At 50.1% G+C, this 21,175-nt stretch overlaps 2 long non-coding RNA genes across 6 annotated transcripts in view; both read right to left on the minus strand.

Moving 5' to 3' along the window:
* Positions 1-1,212: 1,212 nt before the first annotated feature.
* LOC124903987 (uncharacterized) lies at positions 1,213-2,914 on the minus strand. Its single transcript, XR_007065723.1, has 2 exons — positions 2,875-2,914; positions 1,213-1,596 (listed from the first exon to the last, which is right to left on the minus strand). It is a non-coding gene; the product is annotated as an uncharacterized LOC124903987 (long non-coding RNA).
* Positions 2,915-3,006: 92 nt separating this feature from the next.
* Positions 3,007-21,175, minus strand: part of LOC105371742 (uncharacterized) — a 163,994-nt gene continuing 145,825 nt past the window's right edge. For 2 of the 5 annotated variants that reach the window (XR_001752848.3, XR_001752843.3), the window contains exon 4: positions 3,007-5,960. This is a non-coding gene — a long non-coding RNA (uncharacterized LOC105371742). The remainder of the gene's footprint in view (positions 5,961-21,175) is intronic. The other 3 variants (XR_934691.4, XR_001752844.3, XR_001752845.3) reach the window with 3 other exon arrangements.

Genomic DNA, 21,175 nt, shown 5'->3' on the forward strand with positions numbered 1-21,175 from the left:
TCTCCCGTGAGTCTCCACCAGACCCTGCAAGCTCCTACGGCCTAGGCTGGAAATTACCCATCAGTGTGTCCCACCCCCCAGTGCTGAGCCTGACAGGCCATAGGAGGCGCTTAGCAAACACTGACTGCATTAATTACTATTAATTAATAATAGAGGATGGACCCAACCACAGCTGCCCACTCTGTCCTACTCCTACTCCATGAGGCCTCCTGGCTTTCAGGGTGGGAGTGGAGACCTGAGGAGATAATCCCCTTTGCCTGCCCCAGGGAGAGGCACAGCAGGCAGGGCCAGGCCAACCCTGAGGGGCCAGGAGCCAACTGCCAGGCTGACATGCAGAGGCAGCCAGCCGGCAGGGCTCATAAACGGCCCAGTTACATTTATAGCTGTGTTCTTATTAAGCACCAGGAGAGGAGAGATGAATCATACCCCCTCCTCCCACCCACAGCCTGGGGAGGTGGAGGCCACCAGCCGGCCTGGCCTTAAATCTCAGGAAACTTTAAAGTCACAAATGCTCAGGGCCAGCCCTGCATCACCAGGGACAGCAGAGAGGAATGCAGGCTGCTCCGGCATTCATGTCCCATGGGGTCCAGGCCAAGGGCAAGGCGTGGAGGAAGGCGGGGGCTCCCTGAGAGGTCCTGGGAACAGGATCCTCAATTCAGACGTGCACTCAACATTGTGTGACTTTGAGACAGTCAAATGACCCCTCTGGAACTTTGGGCAGCATGCTTTACCTTAATTAACAGAATCCAGGTGTTTCTGGGGGCACGCCCCTCAATCCTCCCATGTTACAGAAAGGCAAAGCAGAACCTGGAGGCGACCCTGGCCACCAGAACCCCAATAACTGTGCCCTGAAAGGTCAGTGGTGCAGCAGGCTGGCAGACTGTACATGGCCTTGAAAGGGAGGTCAGGGATGGCATTTATGGCCACGTCATCAGGGTGTTCTCACCCAACCCTGACTCAGGAGCCATGATGCCTGTCACCCTCCTATAGCAGGGTGTGCTGGGTGCTTGAAAAATGTCTGCCCCCACCACCATGCTCACTTCCCTGAATAGCAGAAAGGTGAGGAATGCTGTACCCATTTTACAGAGGGAGTAACTAGAATTCGAACTGTTGCCAAGACTAAAACGTGGATGGGGCCGCCTTCACACCTGGGGCCTCTTTAACTTTCTCTCTCTTTTTTCTTGTATGTGTAATTGATTTCAGTGAGATTTATTAGGATTTTTAAACCCTTTTTATTGTGAAATATAACACAAATACCAAAAATTGAATAACCCATAAATGTAGAGCTTAATAAGTTATACAAAGTGAACACCCAGGAAACCACCTCCCAGGTCCCAGGAAACAGGACTTTGCCAGTGTGCCAGAGCCACCCATGCAGCCTGTCCCGAGGCCAGTTCCTCCCTCCCTGCTCAGGGAACCACATCCCAGCCTTCATGGGAGGCTCCTACGGTAAGCCCAGGCTCCTGGAATTCAGGAGAATTGAGAGCACTGAATAGGAAGGCGAGAGTCACGGCTTCCAGGTCCACCTCCTCTCGGGGCCTCAGTTTCCTCTTCTGCAAAGTGAAGAATTGGACCTCTCCAGCCCAGTCTAGAATCCTAAACCAGCAAGAAGACAATTTGTCTGGGATGATGGGTACTGATCAGAGGGTGCCTGGATACCTGTTCATAGAATAACCAGCAAGAAGACAATTCGGCTGGGGTGATGGGTGGGGATCAGAGGGTGCCTGGATACCCCTTCATAGAATAACCGGCAAGAAGACAATTCGGCTGGGGTGATGGGTGGGGATCAGAGGGTGCCTGGACACCCCTTCATAGAATGCGCTTCCTTCCTCCTCATCCCTGGGAGGAGGTGGTGTTCTCTCACCACACCCAGAGGCTGTGACTAGGAGGAGCCTCTTTCTGCCTGCCACGGAGATGGAGTTTTGGGGTTTTCTGCTTGGAGATCTGTGGGGAGCCTGGGAGCTACTCAGTTCTTTGGGCTTATCCCCCACCCCCACCAGGGAGCCTAGTGTCTAGTTTTGAGTAATTCCCCAGAAGCCAAGCCGAGTTCATCCTTCCTGCTTCCCATCAAGACCTCTGATGTGACTTTGGGACCCCTGCCCGCCTGCACCTCTCCTGGGAGGGCTGAGCCAGCTGCACAGGGCTCTGCAGCCTGGGTGCTGGGAACTATATGCCTGTGGGGAGGAAGAGGAGAAAGAAGAAGGAGGAAGGGAGAGGGAGGGCAGGTTGGACCAGCATTCCCTGAGCCCCTACTGTGTGCCAAGCACCGCAGAGGCACTTGGCATTCATGATCTGGTTTCATCAGCCTCCTCATGTGGAAGAAATACTAATATCTTCGTCTTCCAAAGGAGGACACTGAGGCTGAGTTTAAGCATCTTGCCCAAAGTGGCACCTCTAGGAAAAGGCAGAGGCAGGCTTAGAAACAAGCCCCTCTGACTCCAGAGCTTTTCATTTTCACTCCACACCCAGCCCTGGCACAGAATCAAGAGAGGAAGTCAAGTGAGTCCTGAGGCCTCACTCCCTCCTTCCGTGGCTGTGAGCGCCATGGTGCTGATGAATGAAGGGGCTGGATAAATTAGCACAGGAAGTCAGTGATGATGAAGGTGAAATGAATTGGAAGGAAGAATGAGAGTTGGGGTGGGGTGAGGCAGGCGAGAGTTCAGAGAACAGAGCAGTTTCCAGCTGGGAGGACTAGGGAAATAGTGGAACCAAACTCCAAGACAGAGAAAAGCAGGTTAGGCCAGGCATGGTGGCTCACGCCACCTAGCACTTTGAGAGGCCAAGGTGGGAGGATTGCTTGAGCCCAGAGTGCAATATGGTGAGACCTCGTCTCTACAAATAATACAAAAATTAGCCAGGTGTGGTAATGCACACCTGTGGTCCCAGTTACTTGGGAGGCTGAGATGAGAGGATCACTTCTGCCTGGGAGATCAAGGTTGCAGTGGGCCATGTTTGTGCCACTGTATTCCAGCCTGGGTGACAGACCAACACCCTGTATCATAAAAAGAAAAGAAAAGAGAAGGTTTTGGGTGGCGGGTGTGCAGCAGGGGGTGCCAGGACTTGATTTGAAGACTTTCAACATCTTATTCACTTCTTTATCCCTTGCTAAGAACCTGCCTGAGAGGCCCTATTCACGTCGGATGGGCAGATGGGTAGGTGGAAGGTTGGTTGGAAGAGGGAGAGGTCAAGAAGTCAACATATTTATGGCCAAGGGACTCTAGGTTTTTCCTTGCATTCCAGGTGGAGAGAGAAACATACATTTGGAGTAAGTACCCTACAAGTAAGTCACATCACCCAGAGATGCTTAACTGGGGTCTTGTGGATCTCCATTCCTGGATCTCCTCCCCCAGTCCTCCTCCTTCTCCCACGCGTGCCCTCCCACCCTCAACCCCTATTTCCCGCCCCCCCCTTCCTCATTGCCCTCCAGAAACCAGAGGGGAACATGATTCTCAGAGACCAGGAACCATGGGTGTGAGCTCCAAACTCCTTTGCTCATACCAGCAACTTCAGCCTGGTGAACCTGGGGCTCAGAGAGTGCTGGCATCCTGGTTGAAGACCCCCAGCAAGACCTGCTGCCAAAGTGAGACCAGACTACCTGACCACTTAGCTTGTAGGGCTCGAGGCTGTGCTGGAGGAAAGGAGACCGCAGGGGCTTGCATTTTCTGTCTCTGGAAAACACTGAAACAAGCCAGCCTCCCAGCCACACTGAGCTCCTGCTGCCCAGCCTCAGTGAAGGCCATGGCTTCTCAGCAGCAAACTATGATTGCTCGTGTTGCCTTTCCTGCTGAATGATTTTAGTTTAATAATTTTGCATGATCTCGGCACAGCATGAAGAAAGAGTAGAGCCGAAGACACAGGGCTTATAGTGAGGGAAAAGGGGTAGAACCGGAATCTAAAGAGCTCCCTTCAATCTGACCTTGGCCAGTGACTGGAATTTCCAACCAACTGTTGCTGGTTACCACAAATGACAGCAGCCTCTCCCTCTGTGCATGGCTCTCAGTGGGTCCCCAAAAGGAAAAGGGCTCAGGGGTGGCTCACAGCCTCACGTGGTCATGGGTAGGTCCCACGTTGATCATCGTACCAGGCAGGCATTGCACTAGAATTATCTCACTGAATCTCCACCACCTCCCCACACCTACCGCCCCCCAACACCTACCGCCCCCCCCACCCAACACACACATACCCAGGAAACAGTCATTGTCATCCCCATGTGCAATGAGGAAATGCATGGCACAGACTTGCCTGAGACCCCCACCCAGTAAGGGCTCATAGAGCCAAGGTCAAGCTCAGATTGACAGACCTCAAACAGGATTGCCTTACACAGTTACACTTGGGTGTAAGTGAAGGCCTTACACCCAAACTGGGAGTGGAGAACTTTTTCCAAACTGGAAGGAGGCTCTAGGAGAGGAGCAGAGTCCAAGGGAGAAATTCAAGGTCTTTCCCTGGAAGAGGAAGAGTCAGAAAAGTAGGGCAGTTAGAAGATTTGGGAAAAAAGCTGAATCACAATTTAGAGCTGCCAGGACTCTCACAGGGCTTGAAATCATCCCCTTCACTTTGCAGATGAATTTCACCATAACCCCAGAGAAGTCAAGCACCTTGGCCAAGGTCACACAGCAGCAGATCTCTAACCACAGCCAAATGCTCCCAAATCCCATGACCTTACATGGGATTGGGCCTCCCCCACCCACAAAGCCAGCCCAGCTCTAGCTCCCACAAGGTTAGGTCAGGTTGGGCCAGAGGATGGATGGCAGGTGCCCAGGCCAGGTCCAGGCAGGGAGGGTGGTTTCTCCTGCTGTCTCACCCCGGCTCATTACTATTCCTGGCATCATCCCCCTCACACCCCTTCCCGTGGAAACCCAGTGATGCCAAGAGCTGGAATTTGGACGTTTTCCAAGCATTTGGGCTGTTAATTAAAACTAATAAATCTGCCACTTGGAGTTGAGTTGAAGAGGAGAAAGGGAGAGGTAGGGGAGGGAGACAGGGACTGGGGTGTAGGATCCCCACACACACCCCTACAAGGGTCTCTTCCTTTCAATCCTGCCTCCTGAACTATTTTCTCTGTTGGCCACTTATTCATTCCACACTTGATTCTCCCAGCTGTCAGACCCTAACCTCTGCCTGAGTAAGCTCTGGTTTCTTCTAAAGAGACACAAAAGACGTGCTTCCAAGTCAGGGGCGGGCCTGTCATTCCCTGCCACTCCATGGGACTGGGCAAAAAGCACGAGACCCAGGTGGGGCAGACCTGGGTTCAAATCCCAGAGTTGCCCTTTCTAGCCACGTGACCTCTGGGGAGCCACTTCACCTCTCCAGGTGTCCCCTTCCTCACCTTGAAAATGCAGACTGTTAATTCCTACTTGCAAAGATGTAGGTTCTTGCAAAGATGACATGAGAAAGTATGCAAAATAGCCTGTTGCTGACCATTCAGTGATCTCGCTCTGTGATCTGTTCTGATCTCCACTTCCTTTTTCTCATCTCCCCTGACTCTCAGAGGTTCCCATAAACGATTGCATGTTGTGAAATGATATGAATAGCAGTAATGTCACCTTATATCTGTAAAGCAAATTTCAAACTCTCCCATAGTTTAGAACTCTCTCTCTAAGCTATGGGGTGCCATGTCTACATCCATATAGCCCACGCACAAAGCCATGCACTATCCAGGCAATGACAGTGGTGTATTCATCTTTATTTTTTCAGTGCCCACCACAGTGCTAGACGCATAGGGATGGATGAAAGAAGTGCTTTCATACCTGGAGGGGACATCTGTTCCACTTGTCTGCCCAGTGCTCTGTCTCCTTCATCTAGTAACAAACAGCTCCCTTCTGCTTAGAGAACTGCTTCTCCTCTCTCGTACAGTGTGTTCCTTTTCTCTCCTGCTACACAGGTGGCCATGTGACCATGTTGGTCTAATCAGAGCCTTCTCTAGGATTTTTCTTCCTGAGACTGGTGAGGAGGCTTCTTTCCTGTTCAGACATGAGGACAGCGGGTAGGTGGAGCTGCCTGTGAGCATGCCTCCAGCCTTTCTCATGGCAAAGATGAAGTCATGCACAAAGAGACAGAGATGAGAGACAAAAAGCAGGTGCCTAGCTCCGCTGGCTTCAGCCCTCCTATGATCAAGTGATATGAGCCTATGAATTTCCTATTTCTTCATTAAACATAATTGAGCAGGGACTCTGCCATTCACAGCCTTTGACTCACACAATATCTATCATCTCATTTCATCTTCTCAATGACATCTCAAGCTGGGCCAGCAGAGATTGTTATTGCCATTTTACAGATGAGAAAGTCAAGTCTCAAGAAACTGAATTTATTTGCCAAGGCTGCAGAGCTGCTAATGATGGGATTAGAACTGATAACAAGTACTAATGTTTATTGAGAGTGGCAGGTGCTATGTTTAGGGGATACGCATTCTCCCACACCATCCTCTCAATAAGATGATGAAAGCACCAATATCAATATCTGCCTTTATACAGATGGGGCAACTGAGGTTGGAGCAGTTAAGTAAATTACCCAATGTCACAGCGAGTTATGGAGTCAGCCTAGGTCTATCTGCCCAGAATTGAGGCCACCAGCCACCCACCTTCACTGCCCCCACAGCTGCCTTTCTGGGAGAGGAGTATCTCTGGGCGGTGGAAGACTAAGAGCACAGAAATAATCAAATAACTGCTGCATGCACAGCTTTGTCCATGGGCTCAAGGATGCAGAAATGACCAGGCCAGGGACCCTACCCCAAAGGAACTCCCAGTCTAGAAGAGGGAACAAGGCATGTCCATAAATAGCCATGCTGTGAGGCTCAAGTACTTTGGGAACCCAGAGAACAGAGAGATGGCTCCAACTGGGGGAGAGGCAGGAGCAAGTGGCACTTAAACATGACCTTTCATATGGGCAGGATTTGGACCTGTGGACACGGTGTGGCCATGGCAGGGTGAACATCACAAGCAGAGGAAAATGCATAAGCAAACACCTCAGGTGTTTTGGTAGGAAATCCAATGATTTTGTTAGCAGGAGAAAATGATCCCATTTTTCTGAAGGGTAGTGTGCATGAATGGGAAAAGACAAACAAAAGACCAGAGAAATCAATTAAAGACAACAAGTTGAGTGCCTTGGATGCCAAGATTAAAAGTTTGGGCTTTATTTGGCAAGCAATGGGGAGCCATTAAAGGTTTTTGAGCAGGACAATGTCATAGTCAGACTGGAACAATAGTCTGGCAGCCACACATAAGACAGATTAGGAAAGGGCAAGGGCAGTTAGGAGGAGGCTATCAGGAAAGGCAGTAAAGGCAGAAGTAGGCCAGAACAAGGCATGGGGGAGGGAACAGAAAGATGAATCCAATGACACCACAGAGGCAGACCCATCAGAGAACAGTGTGGTGTGGTGGAAAGAGCTTATACTTGGGAATCAGGATGGACTTGAACCTGGACTGCCTGCCTCTAAGAGCTGATGTGCAGGGCACAGGGGACCATGAACAGGACAGCACATTGTGAACCGCAAGTGCACTCGCTGATTCATTGATGCTGCCCCAGGAGCTAGAAGTCAGCTGACACCTGGTAAGTGGTCAGTGAATGCCGAGGGCATGATGGGAGGATGGATGGACAAGTGACTGAGTGAGGAGATGAGTCAGAGAAGGCTCTGTGAATGAAGGAACAAATGAATGAATGAGTAAAAGCAGCAGGGAAGAGAGGGAGGGAAGAGAGAGAGGCACAGCAGCTTCCAGAGTGCTCCTGGAGAAGGACTTGGCTTCAGAAACCTTTCTTCCATCTCCTCCAAACCCAGTCCCAAAGCTGACACAGCCTGGGCTGAGCCACAGTTTCCACAGCTGCAGGGCCTTAGCGCAAGGAGGGATGGAGGAGGAGGGACGGAAGGCTTAAACACGATGAGCTGCTTGCATGGCTCTGGGGTCCCTCCTCCTTCTAAGAAACAGAATTACTTACTTAGAAGGAAATCTTACTTAAAACCTAGTCAGCACTGCTGTGATTTAAGCCCCACTATACCAGGTTCCCCTCCAGCCCTGCTGGTTTTGGGCAAGGATGGAGGCCACTCCCAGGGCTGTGACCTCAATCAAGCCAGGGACCCCTTGGAGCCAGCGCTTCCTCAGTGTGGTCCAGGCCCAGGGGAACAGTGGGTAGGTGAAGCTGCCTCTGAGCATGCCTCCATGGTGTCAGAGCCTGTGTGGGGCCTGGGAGCTCAGGTTGGCTGCCCCCAGGAAGCCTTCCTATTGGGACCACTCCTTCCATTTCAGACAAATCACTCACCTGCCAGTCAGTAATCAGCCCATAAATATTATTGGTACTGACATTGTATACACATTCTCTCACTCGGTCTTCACAAAAGCACCATGAGGTCTCTTCCCATTTCACAGATAAAGAAACCTAGACTCATGAACTAACATTCCCAACTTCACACAGTGGGTGGAGAATCTCATCCAACATGAGGCACAAACTGCTGATTGGTCACCTCCCAATGCCCTTCCCACATTTGTTCAACATAGGACTTGGAGGGGAGAACAAATGCAAATTAACATAACAATAAATCCCCCGCCATGAATGGAAAATGCCGTCCAGGCAGCAGGGCAAGCAGAGAGGTCCCCAAAACAATCATCACGATGACAGTTAACATCATTGAGGCTTTCTCTTTGCCAGGCCCTCCTGTGCACTTGAAGCAAATCAACTCATCTAACTCCTTGGTAACAACACTCAGTATGTCCCCTTTTAATGGTAGGTCTCCAGGAAGGTAAGTGACTGGCCCAGGGTCACATGGCCAGGATAGGGCAGAGCCTGGACTCAAATCCAAGCAGTTCCACTCCAGAGCTAGTGGCCTAAAAATCCCCAATCCCAAAATTACTCTGGGAGGACATCGTATCACTGCCCCTAAATTTTCTGGTTTGTTGAATGGCGATAGTGACAGTGCTTGCCACACGGTGTCTTTAGGGAAAGCTCATCAGGAATATGGCTGTGGGGTACCCCCATAAACTGCCATGTACTGTAGAGTGGATCTTACCGCTGTCCCTGGGGCTTAGGTGGCACTTTGGGAGGCATTTTTATTTTTAATTCAAAAGACAGGAGAGGAGTTGATGCAGGTGGATGGGAAGCCAAGTTGGGTGTATGAGACAAGAGAGGCAGAGACTCGGGAGGCAGCCGGACAGGAGGTGCTGTCAGAACTCAGTAGCCTGTGCTGATAAAGTGGTGAGTGGAGGCAAACAGAAGTTGCTTCAGAGCAGACTAAGCCTGGATTTCAGGAAACCTGCTGTGTTACCTTGCACAAGTCACTACCCCTCTCTGGTCCCGGTTTTCTCCTTTGGAAGTAAAGTGAGGCAAAGAGGTAGGGACAGCGAAGAGTGGTGTGAAGATTCTCTCTAAGGTCATGTTCCATGTCACTGCACTATTTCACTTTACCTGAGAGCTAGCCCTCAGCACAGTGGAATACAGGAAACAGATTTGGGGTGGGGGTATGATACAACAGCCAGCCCTCCACACGTTTTGCTTCTGGAGACCCAGAATCCAAGAAAAGGAAAATGCTCTGTTTCCACCCCACTCAGCTTGTACTCACCCCACCAACTCCCCAAGGTACCAAGAGGATGAGCATAGGAGAGATACCAGTTAAAGTCATGGATGTACTCACCCTCAGTTTCCTCACCTGAAAATGAAAATGACTATGGGGAGGGGGTGGTTTGGTTCTCTTCCAGCTCCACCAGCCTAGGGTTCTAGCATTCAAATGAAGCTGTTTTCCACTAGGTTATCTCTTTCTTTGGGGATAGATGTTGGGAGAGGGTGGGAGCAGTGCTAACTCAATTCTTCCTTGGGTAGAGCATCCTCTAGAGGGGGACAAGACTGGAGATGGGTGTGCTGTGGCTGCAGAGTACAGGATAAAGGAAGGGCTTTAATGTCTTCATGCAAATTGTGCATCAACTTGAGATAGAAATGCCACCTTCTCCAGGAAGCCCTCATGATTGTTCCCAGTACTGACTGTCTGAATGCATGTTCTCCCCTTCCTCCCATCTCAGCCCTCTCCTGTCTGGGTTCCCCCCTCACAAGTGTGTGTGCACGTGCACACACACATATACACACAGGCACCTCCACCCTGCAAGCCCATGTCCTCCACTGACTGACCACACGTTCCCACCAGGCCGGCCTCTGACCCTGGTCCAAGGCCTGCGGGAGAATCTGCAGAGTCAGGGCTCTGTCCTCTTTTCCAATTTCCTTCTGCTTTGATTTTGCAGGTTCTTTGATTGCCCATGGACTTTCAGGCTCAGGCAAAGGGCAGCTCTTTGCAAGGAAAAAAAATAATGGAAGAAAACCCTGGGAAATAAATGCAGACTCTGCTTCCTTCTCCAGCCCAACATTCTGACCAGGCTCAAAGAAAGATCCTGTGACCACGGGGTCCCTCAGAGGCCGCTTCTGATGTGCAAGGCTGCCAGTGTGTTAAAACAATGAAGATTTTGCCAAAATCAGCTTACAAAAAATTGTGCTATATATTACATCTTGAATATTAACAATTTAATGCTTTAACAAAAAAATTACAATGTAATATAATTGCTATGTTAACAAGATAATTACAGGTTTATTTTTAATTAATTCATAATATGCTACAGATGGTGTGGTCTGTTAATAGGACCAAGTTTAACATTATAGGATGAACTGTTTCTTTTACCCAACTGGGCAGCACTGAGACAGGAGAAATTACCTCATTTGAAGATAATGTCAAGAGTTGAACCTGAGACTGTGGCACCCAGACTGAAAGCTTCTCCTGTCCCTTCCGGCTCCCCAACTCCCTTCCCCCGTGACAAATCTCTGCTCCTGAACATGCCCACTCTCCCAGAGATACCTGAAACCACAGAGCCGGAAGGAAATTTCAGATGAACGGTTCAGACTCCTCCACTGTCCAGATGGGGAGATTAAGGCCCCATTCAGCAGTCTGGTGTCATAAGAGCTTATTTCCAAACACACCTCTTACACTTATTACGTACGTGGCCCTAAGAAAGTCAGGTCACCCCTCTGAGCCTCAGTTTGCTCAGTTATGAAATAGGCACAATAAAGCTTGCCTCTGGAGCTGGAGTGAAGTATTAAACAATACATACTGGTGACATGTATTTATGTCACCCTCATCTGACTCCTGTCCCATCAGGTGAGGGTGATGTGGATGGGACTGGCAGCAGGAAAGGCTCAAACGCAGGCCAGGACTCTGTGTCCCCTCGTCTCACCTGCCCCTCCTCCACTGAGCAGTAAGCAGGGTTGGAGCACAGAGCAGCCCCTAATTCCAAATCCAGGGGAGAAGCTGTGTCTCGTGGCACACATCATGCCCCCTGGATGACCTACGCCTTCACCCTCCACCATGAAATAAGGGGAGAGCTTGAGGTCAGAGAGGAACTGGCCATCTGAGAAGTGGAAGGCTGGAGCCCCCAACCCCCAGCACCATCGTATGCAACTCAAGCCATCTGCATCTGGCCTGTCTACGCGGGAGAGAAAGAGAGTCAGTCGAACTGAGTCCAGCCCTGGGGATTAAGTGACATAGGAGGTAGGTTGAGGCCTGGGCAGAAGGTAACCCCAGCAGGCCTGACTCTGGACCCCTGGCACCCAGAGACCTGCTCCCAAACAATCCCTCCCATTTCTCTTCCATCTTAAAACCAAAGAGACTGAGCCCCAGGATTCCAATAGTTGAAGAGGATCCCAGGCTTTTCAGCCCTTAATTGAGAGGTGAGGGAGGGAGGTGGGGAGCGAGACCATGGCTGGGTTAGGAACACAGGAGAACGTAGGCAGAGCAGCAACAGTCCAAGCCAGACCCCCTTCCTCACCACCTGCCCACTGAAACAACTTCTAGCAAGGTCACCAAGAACCAACACTTAGTAAAAGTCAGTTGTCTCTGCTCTCTCCTTCCCTTGTTTAGTCTCTTGGGAATGTCCAGCATGGTTGCCACTCCCACCCTCTTGAAACGATTGCTTCTCTTGCTTCCTTGGTAACATGTTCATCTAGTTTTCTTCCTCCTTCAGGGCCACTTCTCCAACTCCTTTCCAGGACTTCTCCTTTGCCTAAATTTTGGAGTGTCCCAGCTCCCTTATCCTCTGAATGAACCCTGTCTCTCCAGGGGACCTCACTCATTCATATTGCTTTCTATATCATCTGTGTGCTGATCACCTCTACATTTATATCTCCAGCTCTGGCCATGCCTTTGGCCTGCAGACTCATTTATCCAACTGCCCATTCAATATCGGAGGCATCTGAAACTCATTAAGTCCAAAAAGAGCCTTTGATTTCACCTACAAAGCCACTCCTCCCACTCCCTACAAGCCTTCCGCATCTCAGGAAGTAGCACCTCCATCCACCAGTGGCCCACATATCCAGAGTGATCCTTGCTTCCTTTTTACACACTGTACAGTGAGCCCTATTGGCTCCACCTCCTAAACATATCCCGAGTCTGAGCATTTATCAGCAACCCCATGCTGTGGTCCTACACTACCCTCTCACCTGCACCACCACACCTGTTCCCTGCTGGCCTTCCACTGCCAGCTGCTTATACAGCTGCTTTATACAGCAGCCAGAGCACCATGCCCCTGCTTACACTCTCCAACGGCTTCTCATCACAACCAGAATAAAACCAAATACCGTAATGTGCTGTCACAGCTCAGTTTCCCTGGAAAGATTGGAAAATGGTATGTAGGAAGTTAATTGGGATGTGCTCTCAGGATTACACCTGTGGGAAAGGAAGAAAGCAGAATTGGTAGGGGAAATGTTGAGCTACAATGCAGAAGCAACAGAGACCTCAGCCAATCCCACAGAAGCTCTAGAGCAGGGATGACCTTTCAGAGTTGTCCCAGAATAGGAAGTCAAGCCTTACACTCCTGCATCAACCTATCATAGATATGGGCTGCCTTCACCCAGGAATAGCGTGTGACCTCAATTGGACCAGGCAGCCCTCTTCAGCTGACAGCAATTCCTAGAGAGAACTCAGATGAGTGCTTTCAGCTGCTCGAGGAGGAGGGCAACCCACCACAGCATCTACTAGACAAGACAAACAAGACTTGGCATGATCTGACTCTCTCATCAATGCATCTCCCACCACCACCTGTTTTGTTTTGTTTTGTTTTTTGTTTTTTTAAGATGGAGTCTTGCTCTTGTTGCCCCGGCTGGAGTGCGATGGCATGATTCGGCTCACTGCAACCTCTGCCTCCCGGGTTCAAGCAATTATTTTTACTCAGCCTCCTGTGTAGCTGGGATTACAGGCTCCCGCCACCATGCCCAGCTAATTTTTGTATTTTTAGTAGAGACGGGTTTTCCCCATGTTAGCCAGGCTGGTCTCAGACTCCTGACCTCAGGTGATCCACCGGCCTTGGCCTCCCAAAGTGCCGGGATTATAGCCGTGAGCCACCAAGCCCGGCCCTCCCCCACGTTCACTGTGCTCCAGCCACAGTGACCTTCATTTGGCCTCCAAAACAAGCTCAAGAACTCTGCTCTTATTGCTTCTTCTGTGTCTCATCCTTCTTATGTGTAAAATGGAGAAAATCATACATCTGCTTCATAGCGTAGTTAAGAGGATTAAATGAGTCAATACATGTAAAGAGCAGTGCTTGGCATGGAAGGTGTTATATAATCAGAAGCAAATGATAGTGATGGTGATGATGATAATGATGGTGATGACAGTGATGATGATAACAATGGTTAAGATGATGATGGTGATGGTAATGATGGTGATGATGATAATGATGATGGTGAGGATGATGTTGATAATAATGATGGTAATGATGATGGTGATGGTGATGATGATGATGATGTTGTTGATGGTGATGGTGATGGAGAATGAAACTCCCTTCTCTTAAATCACTGTATGGCTACCGCTTCTCAACATTCAAGCATTTTCTCAAATGCCACCTCCTCAGAGAATCCCTCCCTGACCCAAGCCAGGCAGCACACTCCTAATCACTGTTCACCTTCCAACCCCGGTTTATCTTCTTCATGACACTTAACAGCACCTGATACTATCTTATTTGTTTGTTTACATCAGTGGTTCTCAACCAAGGGTGGCTTTTGCTCCCCAGGGAACACTTGGCAATATCTGGAGACACTTTTGGTTGTCACAACTGGGCAGGGGGAGTGCTACTACATCTAGTGAGTAGAGGCCAGGATATTGCTAAGCTTCCAAAGGGAAGCCCTACAACAAAGGTATCTGGCCCAAAATGTCAACAGTGTTGATAGTAAGAAATCTTGGTTTACTTTTTATTTTTTTTTCTCCTCCATGAGAAGGTCTGTCTTGTTCACCCTCATATCCACAATATTGACACCTTGTAGATCCTTACTCCATATATGCTGACTGTCAGTGCTTACAATAACGTTTCACATGGGGTAAGTGGTCTAAAACTGTTTGCTGAGGGAATATGTGCCAAGCCCTATGACTTAATAGCTGCGTGAGCTTGGTGAGTCACTTAACTTTCCTGAGCTTCTATTTGCAATTTGCTTATTTGTAAAATAGCATAAATATTCATTAATGAAACCGACAGTTACCAAGATCTCACTGAGTTCCTGTCCTGTCCACTCTTTAGAACCATTTTGGGGATTGCAGGAGGTCCATGGATTCATCCTGAGACTTGCTCAAATGTCACCTCCCCTGTGAAGCGCTCCCTGATCCTTGCCTTCCTCAGCTACCCACCATCACTAAGGCAAATAAGTCTCTCCTTTTCCAGGCTCCAAAAGCCCCTTGTTCACACCTATGTGGTAGTGAACCGTGCTATTGGCTTGAAATGCTTGATAAGTTCTCAGCCCTATCAGACTCTGTCCCTTTTATAACAAATAGTTTGTAATGGTTCCTTTACAATCCTGAAATGAAATTCATATACAGTATAACCTACCTAGACACATCACTGGAAAATAAATCAACATAATGCCCTAACTGTAAGATAAAAAAGTAAAATAAAGATAATTTATAATAAAATATGTATCTCAATATGTAAATGCTCAGGTTTGATGGCACTAGAAGACATAATGAAGTCGTCAGAGGTTTGTGTCTACACATTAGCTCACCCTGAGGGCCAGAGCCTCAAACACTCGGGAGGTTGTGTCTGGGACTCCACTGCCACAAAGAGCTTTGCCATTGGAAATGTGATTTTCCAGAAATGATGAATAACTCTTGGTAATGTTTCCAACGGAACAATCTTCCTTCAATTTACATGGTAGTTGTACTCCCAGAAAAATCAGTGTATATTAAATTCATGACACAAATACTTTATGTTTATATGTATAACATAGGTTCCAGGCTCAAATAATTATAAACAGGTTTTTTGTCTACTTGAATGTCGACCAAGATATTTGCAAGTCGCGTGGGATGTGGAGTGATGCTTCACTGAGCAGGATCATCCCTGCTTCGACGAGCGTTTAACATCCTTGGCCACTCCCACTAAATGCCAGTAGCATCCCCTATAGTGATTGTGAACATCGAAAATGTCCCCCTGCTTATTTACAAAACTGTCCCTCCACGATGGCACTGCCCTCATGGAGAATTTCTCTTCTAGTTTGTGTCTTTCACCTGCCTATGAGCTACCAGAGGACAGATGAACTTGTACATGACAGGTACTCAAGAAATTCTGATCGGCTGTAACACATGTGATCATACCCCATGCATATCCCCTCAGCCAGCCCTGGAGGTTGCCTGCAGAAAGACCTGCCAACGGTGACAGATGGGTGTCCTCCAGCCCCGGGAGTGTGCCAATCCATGTACTGATCAGGCCAAAAGCGCCAGGGAGCTAACAGCCCACAGACAACCCTCTGCCAAGGAGGGCTGGGGTTGGGGGATAAATTCCCCAACTTCCTCGCCCCTCCATGGGACCAAAATAAGGCACACTGGGAAGTATTCCAGAGAATCTGCCATGAGCCTGAGAGCCCCAGCTGCCCACAGACCCACAGAGATAACCCTCGTGAACACCCCATACCTGGCTCTCCTTCCTTCCTGTCTCATTTCCCCACTCCCTCAGAGCATTTCCTGGGATCACCTCCCAGATATACTCCTTGCACTCAGATTCTTGTGTCAGTGTGTTTCAGGCACTATTGTTACACAACAAACCACCCCAGAATCGCTTGAAACAGCAAGGATTTCTGATTTCCCCTGATTCGGCTGTTGGCTGGGCGGTTCCTCTGAGGTTTCACTGGGTCCCGCAGAGCCGGAGGGTCCCCTGAGCTGGAAGATCAAAGCTGGCCTCACCCACTGTTCGGCAGGTGGTGCAGGCTGTTGGCCGGGGAAGGCTCTGTCCTCCTCCTCCTCGAGGCTTCTCACCCTGCAGTAGCTGGACTTGCATGGCAGCCTCACAACAGTGCCCCAAGATGGCAAACGAGAAAGCAGCAAGCCTCTTGAGCCCACGCTCCAGATCACAAACAACATCCCTTTCTGTTACATTCCATAGGTCAAGGCAAGACACAAGATCAGCCCGGGTTCATGGTAGGTAGAGAAACAGATCTTGTCTCGGGATTGGAGTTGCAGCAAAGGCATGTGCATGCAGGGTGGGAGGAATTTATGATCATTAAAAAATCTGCCACTTGGGGTCTGCTGTGGGTAGGGGTAACCCCAAATTAAGACATCAGCCAAATCAAGCAATGACACGGGCAGACTAATGTCTGGCGGCATGACAGAGGGGAAGATGTGGATGTGTGAATGCACTTTGGAAACAGAGGCACAGCCCAAGTTGCTGGTGCTGACCAGGATGTGCAGCTCCTGGAAACACAGGCTGGGAGGAAGGCAAGACCATCTTAGCATCTCTAGTTCCACTGCTGAACTTGTGTTTTTCCACAAGACTGCATAATTCACCAAGGCACAATTACTTACGGAAGAACATAAACAGTGTGTGCCATGGGCCCGTGGGGGTTTGTAATTCAGACATGTCTCCAGGGATAATTAAAATCTCTCCTCGGAACAGGAAGTCTTGAAATAGTGCTACAGTGGTGTGCCCTGCTCCTGCTGAACCCAGGGTGGTGGCCAGGGACTCCTCAGGACAGGATGAGGAGCTGAGGGTGGGGAAGGAGAAGGTGGTCAGGACCTGCAATCCTGGGAGAACTCAGTGGACGCCCAACTGCAGCAGCAGGAGGGAGTTCAATGTCGGGGAGAACTTCTCTTATCACCAGGGCTCATTTTTAGACCATGGTAAGGGCTGTCCCCTTTGCCCGTGGATGGTAAGGACAGATGGAGGGAGGCCTGGTTTAGACAGAGCCATGGTACAGGTTAGATGGGCCCATCTAGTTGTGTTCTGTGTCTGAGTGAGGCTGATAATCAGGGATGGGATTCTTTCACGGATAAGGGAGAGGAAGGGAAGAGGAAGGGAACATTGAGTCTTAAAGACCTACTCCATGTCAGGCTCTATGCTAAGCACTTTACACCCCTTCTCATTCAACCTGTACCCATTTTCCAGTTCTGAAAGTGCTAAGCCCAAGAACATAAAGCCACTACGTGGCAGAGCAGGGACCCAGGCCTCTTGACTCCAAAGTCCACAGGAGTGTCTAGAGGAAGCCAGCAAATAAGGTGAAGTGTTGCACAGCAGACAGAAGAGAGGACACTCTCTAGAAGGGGACAAATGGCTCTGCCTTAAAGTCCTTGAAAGCCAGTAAGAAAAAGAGAGTTGAGCCTTATGGTGTGTATCTCCAAAGGCCAGGACCATGCCAGGAAATGGATGTGATCAGAAGACAGATTTCGGTTTGGTACAAGAAACAGCTTTTTAACAGGCAGAATCATCCCACTCTGGAATGAATGAGCCATATGGAGAGGTGGTGAGCTCCCCATCCCTAGACACATGTAAGCACAGGCTCAATGCCCTCCAGCAGTACTTCTGTAGAAAGGTTAGATCTGGTACCTCTGCAGTCTCTTGGACCCTAAGTTTCCAGGGATCTCTGGGAGGGGCTGAGTGCCTTGGGCGGGGTACCCTGATGGGCATAGGCAAAGTTGAGCCAGGAGAGAGTTCGTGACTAATGGAAGAGCTCTGGACCCTGCCTTCTCCCTTCCCTGCCCTCCCAGAGCCTCCAGGCTTCTCATTTGCTGCTCTCCTGGCAAAGCTACTGGCTGGTGGAGGGGAGGGATCAGGAGGTGCCCCCACCCCGCCTGCATGCTGAATGGCAACAAGTTAACCTGCTGACCCTTAATCAAAGTCTCCAAGCGCAGCAGCTGGATGGATGCACCATTTCTCCAGCTCCAATTACTCAGCAGGAAGTTCATCTGGTGGCAAGAAGCAGAAGGAGCTGAAGACGAAGAGAGCGAAGATGGAACGGTCCTGGGGGAGATCACAGCCATGGCCTCAGCCCAGGGCTGGGTCAGCTTCCAGCCCGGCCCAGGCCCACAGAGCTCCAGCCACCTGGAGAGGCCTGTGCTGAGGGGAGGGAGGGGAGAGGCTGGGGACCTTGGGACAGTCCAGGCTCTTCTGGTGTCAGGGAACTGGATCATAGAATCCTGAAAGATGCTGCTCCCCACACAGAGCCTTCCCATTTCAAAGGCTGCCAGCAGCACACAGGGGACATCTGAAGACTGTGGGGAGGCCTCTGTCAACCCTAGGTACCCCTTCTATCCCCCGTTCCACCCAACCTCAACACCCTGTGTTCCCTCTGGGACCAACCAGCCCTAAGAAGCCCAGAAAAGGCAGCATGGATAGAACAATTTCCCTGCAATCAACCCCCAGGCTCTGTCCCACCTCCAGAATTGAACTGGGATTGTTGCCATATATGGAGATATCCAGAACAGGGTCCTGCCAGCCCCCCTTCCTCTGTCCCCAGACATTCCTCCCCATTCAGGGGTACATGGACATGGAAAGGGGGTTCCAGGCCCTAAACCTACATGTTGAGAGGTATGAGAGGCTCCCCTCCGAGAAGCAGACACAGTCCCTGGGAGAGTGCAGTCTGATGGGGGAGACACAGACCCTATCCCGGCAGATCTGCCAGTATGATTTCTGAGTTCAAGAACTCCAGTCTGAGAGAGGAAGACAACACACAAAGATGGACTTGCAAATGCCCACCAGTGAGAAGGTCCCCTGACCTTCTGTCACACTCATGCATAAGCCACAGGCTGCAGAAGGAAGCGCTGGGGTCACCCCCGGGGGCTCCACTGAGGAGGGGTTCAGTTCTGAGGTGGCTTCACTTCCTCCAAACTCAGCCTCAGAAGGCGCTTCCTGGAGCACAGGGGCGCAGGTCTGTACCACTGTGGGAGCCAAGGAAGAGCAGCTTATTAATTTAATCCTTAAGCAAATTTACAAAATTGTCAGTGGATTTGCAGGAAGCCGAGGGAAGTGGCTTCCACGGAAGCTGGCAGCTGCTGTCCTGCCAGGGGGATTTGCCTTGCTGCGTGGGAGCGGGCAGGGATGGGGAGGCTTCATGCCTCAGAACCCCTTCCCCAGCACCTCCTGGCAGGGACCCTGCTTCTCCACATATCTCCTCTGTCAGTCTCTTCCCTAAAAACAGAACCTGAAAATTGGTCTGGGAGGACCTCAGCCACAACGGCCACTGATAGAAATAATTATAGATGCGGAGTAAGCACTTCCAGCGTGCCAATGCTGAACATATATGAATTCATCATCAGGAATGACACAGGTACTGTTATTGTCACTGTTTACAGATGGGAAAACTGAGGCACAGAAAGGCTAGGTTGCCCAAGGTCACACAGCTCATAAATGGCAGGGGCAGGATCCAAGCCAGGGCAACCATTCTCAACCTCTGTGCCCTTCTACACCCTTAGTCTCTTGCCTCTCTCTTTTGCTTTTGGCTTCTGTCAAAAGGAGACCCATCTTCCCACACCCATGGGGATGCTAAGCCAACTATTTCTCATGCTGTTCCTAAGGGCAGCCCCAAGTGTCATCCTGATCATTCCCCAGCCTCCAAATGCCCGAGCCACTCCATTCCTGGTAAATACCTCCATCTTCTACCTGCCCTGCCCTCTTTCAGCCACTTCTTCCGCCCCACGCCCCACGAGAATCGGTGCTTCCCTTCAAAATTGGAACCTCCCGAGAGCACGGACTTGGGTCCCAAGCCTTGGCACAGTCCATCTGGGTCCCTGAGTAAGGCATGGCTTCTTGAAGGGGTCCCAGGCCTTCAAGTCCTGCAGCAATTCTCCTGCCTCCTTGATAAGGCCTGTGCCCAACAGCCTTCGGGTTTGAGGAGAAGGCTGCTACGAGCCAGCGTGGCCCAGGCCCAGCTGACTGAATCTCCAATCTCCACAGAGACTGAGGCTGGTTAACCTGTTGGGAGAGTTCAATGATCACGTGCCGATAAGGAATTAGAAAAGCCCTGACCAGCTGGTGACCCTATCCAGCCACCGTCCCTGGTCCGGCTCCAGCACCCCTGTCCAGCAGATCTCTCATTAGCATCTTAATGTGAGGAACATATGCAATGAGGCATCTGAGAGAATCCCCAGCATTTAAATTCATTAACAGTCCCTGGAAGTCTTCAGTGCGGAGGTGGAATTATCGCTAAACTGCTTTTAACTTACCAGCTGTGCACTGAACGGCAGAGGAGCCTGGCTTTAGGGTTTGGGAGGGGAGTTGGAGGGGAGTTAGTTGGAGGGGCACTACTGTCTGGGGCCCAAAGCCCAAGCCCAGGGATGCTGAGGCTCCTGGCTGGAGGGCTGTTTTCCAGATTATGTTCAACACCCTAATGATGAGTGAAAAATTCAATCAATCAGCTGGCTTGTCCACTTAGAAACAAACAGCCGCCTCAACTGATATTGATGTGGCTGTGCGTTTCAGGTCAAGTTTCGTGACCCTGCCTCTCTCTGCTCAGTGTATGATGGATGATAGAGGAAATGTCTTTCCTCTCCCGGGAGTGGCCTTCCTCTGACTGGCCAGACCCTCCCTATGCTTCATAGCCCCATCAGGCGGCATTTCCTGACACTGTCCTCCTTTTCCCACCTGGTTTCTGTCCAGCATTTTCACCTCCCATCCCAGCACACAGCCCACAGTGCCATGACCTTACTAAGATCTGTCTCTTCCATGTGCCCAAGAATCCCGGAGAGCAGCATTGGGCCTGTGTGTATCCCAGAGTCCAGTCAGCCCCTGGCACAAAAGATACGCTCAACAGAGATTCACTGAATTAATTAATTGATTGATTAAATGCTCCTCTCTGCCTGCAGTGTCAATCACAGTGCCTGGCTCATTGTAGATTCTTAATAAATATTTGCTGAATAAATGTTGAATGACAGACAGATAAGTGGTAGATGCAAGGATGGTCTGGGGATAAG

This window comes from Homo sapiens, chromosome 17, assembly GCF_000001405.40.
Source record: "Homo sapiens chromosome 17, GRCh38.p14 Primary Assembly".
Taxonomy (NCBI): domain Eukaryota; kingdom Metazoa; phylum Chordata; class Mammalia; order Primates; family Hominidae; genus Homo; species Homo sapiens.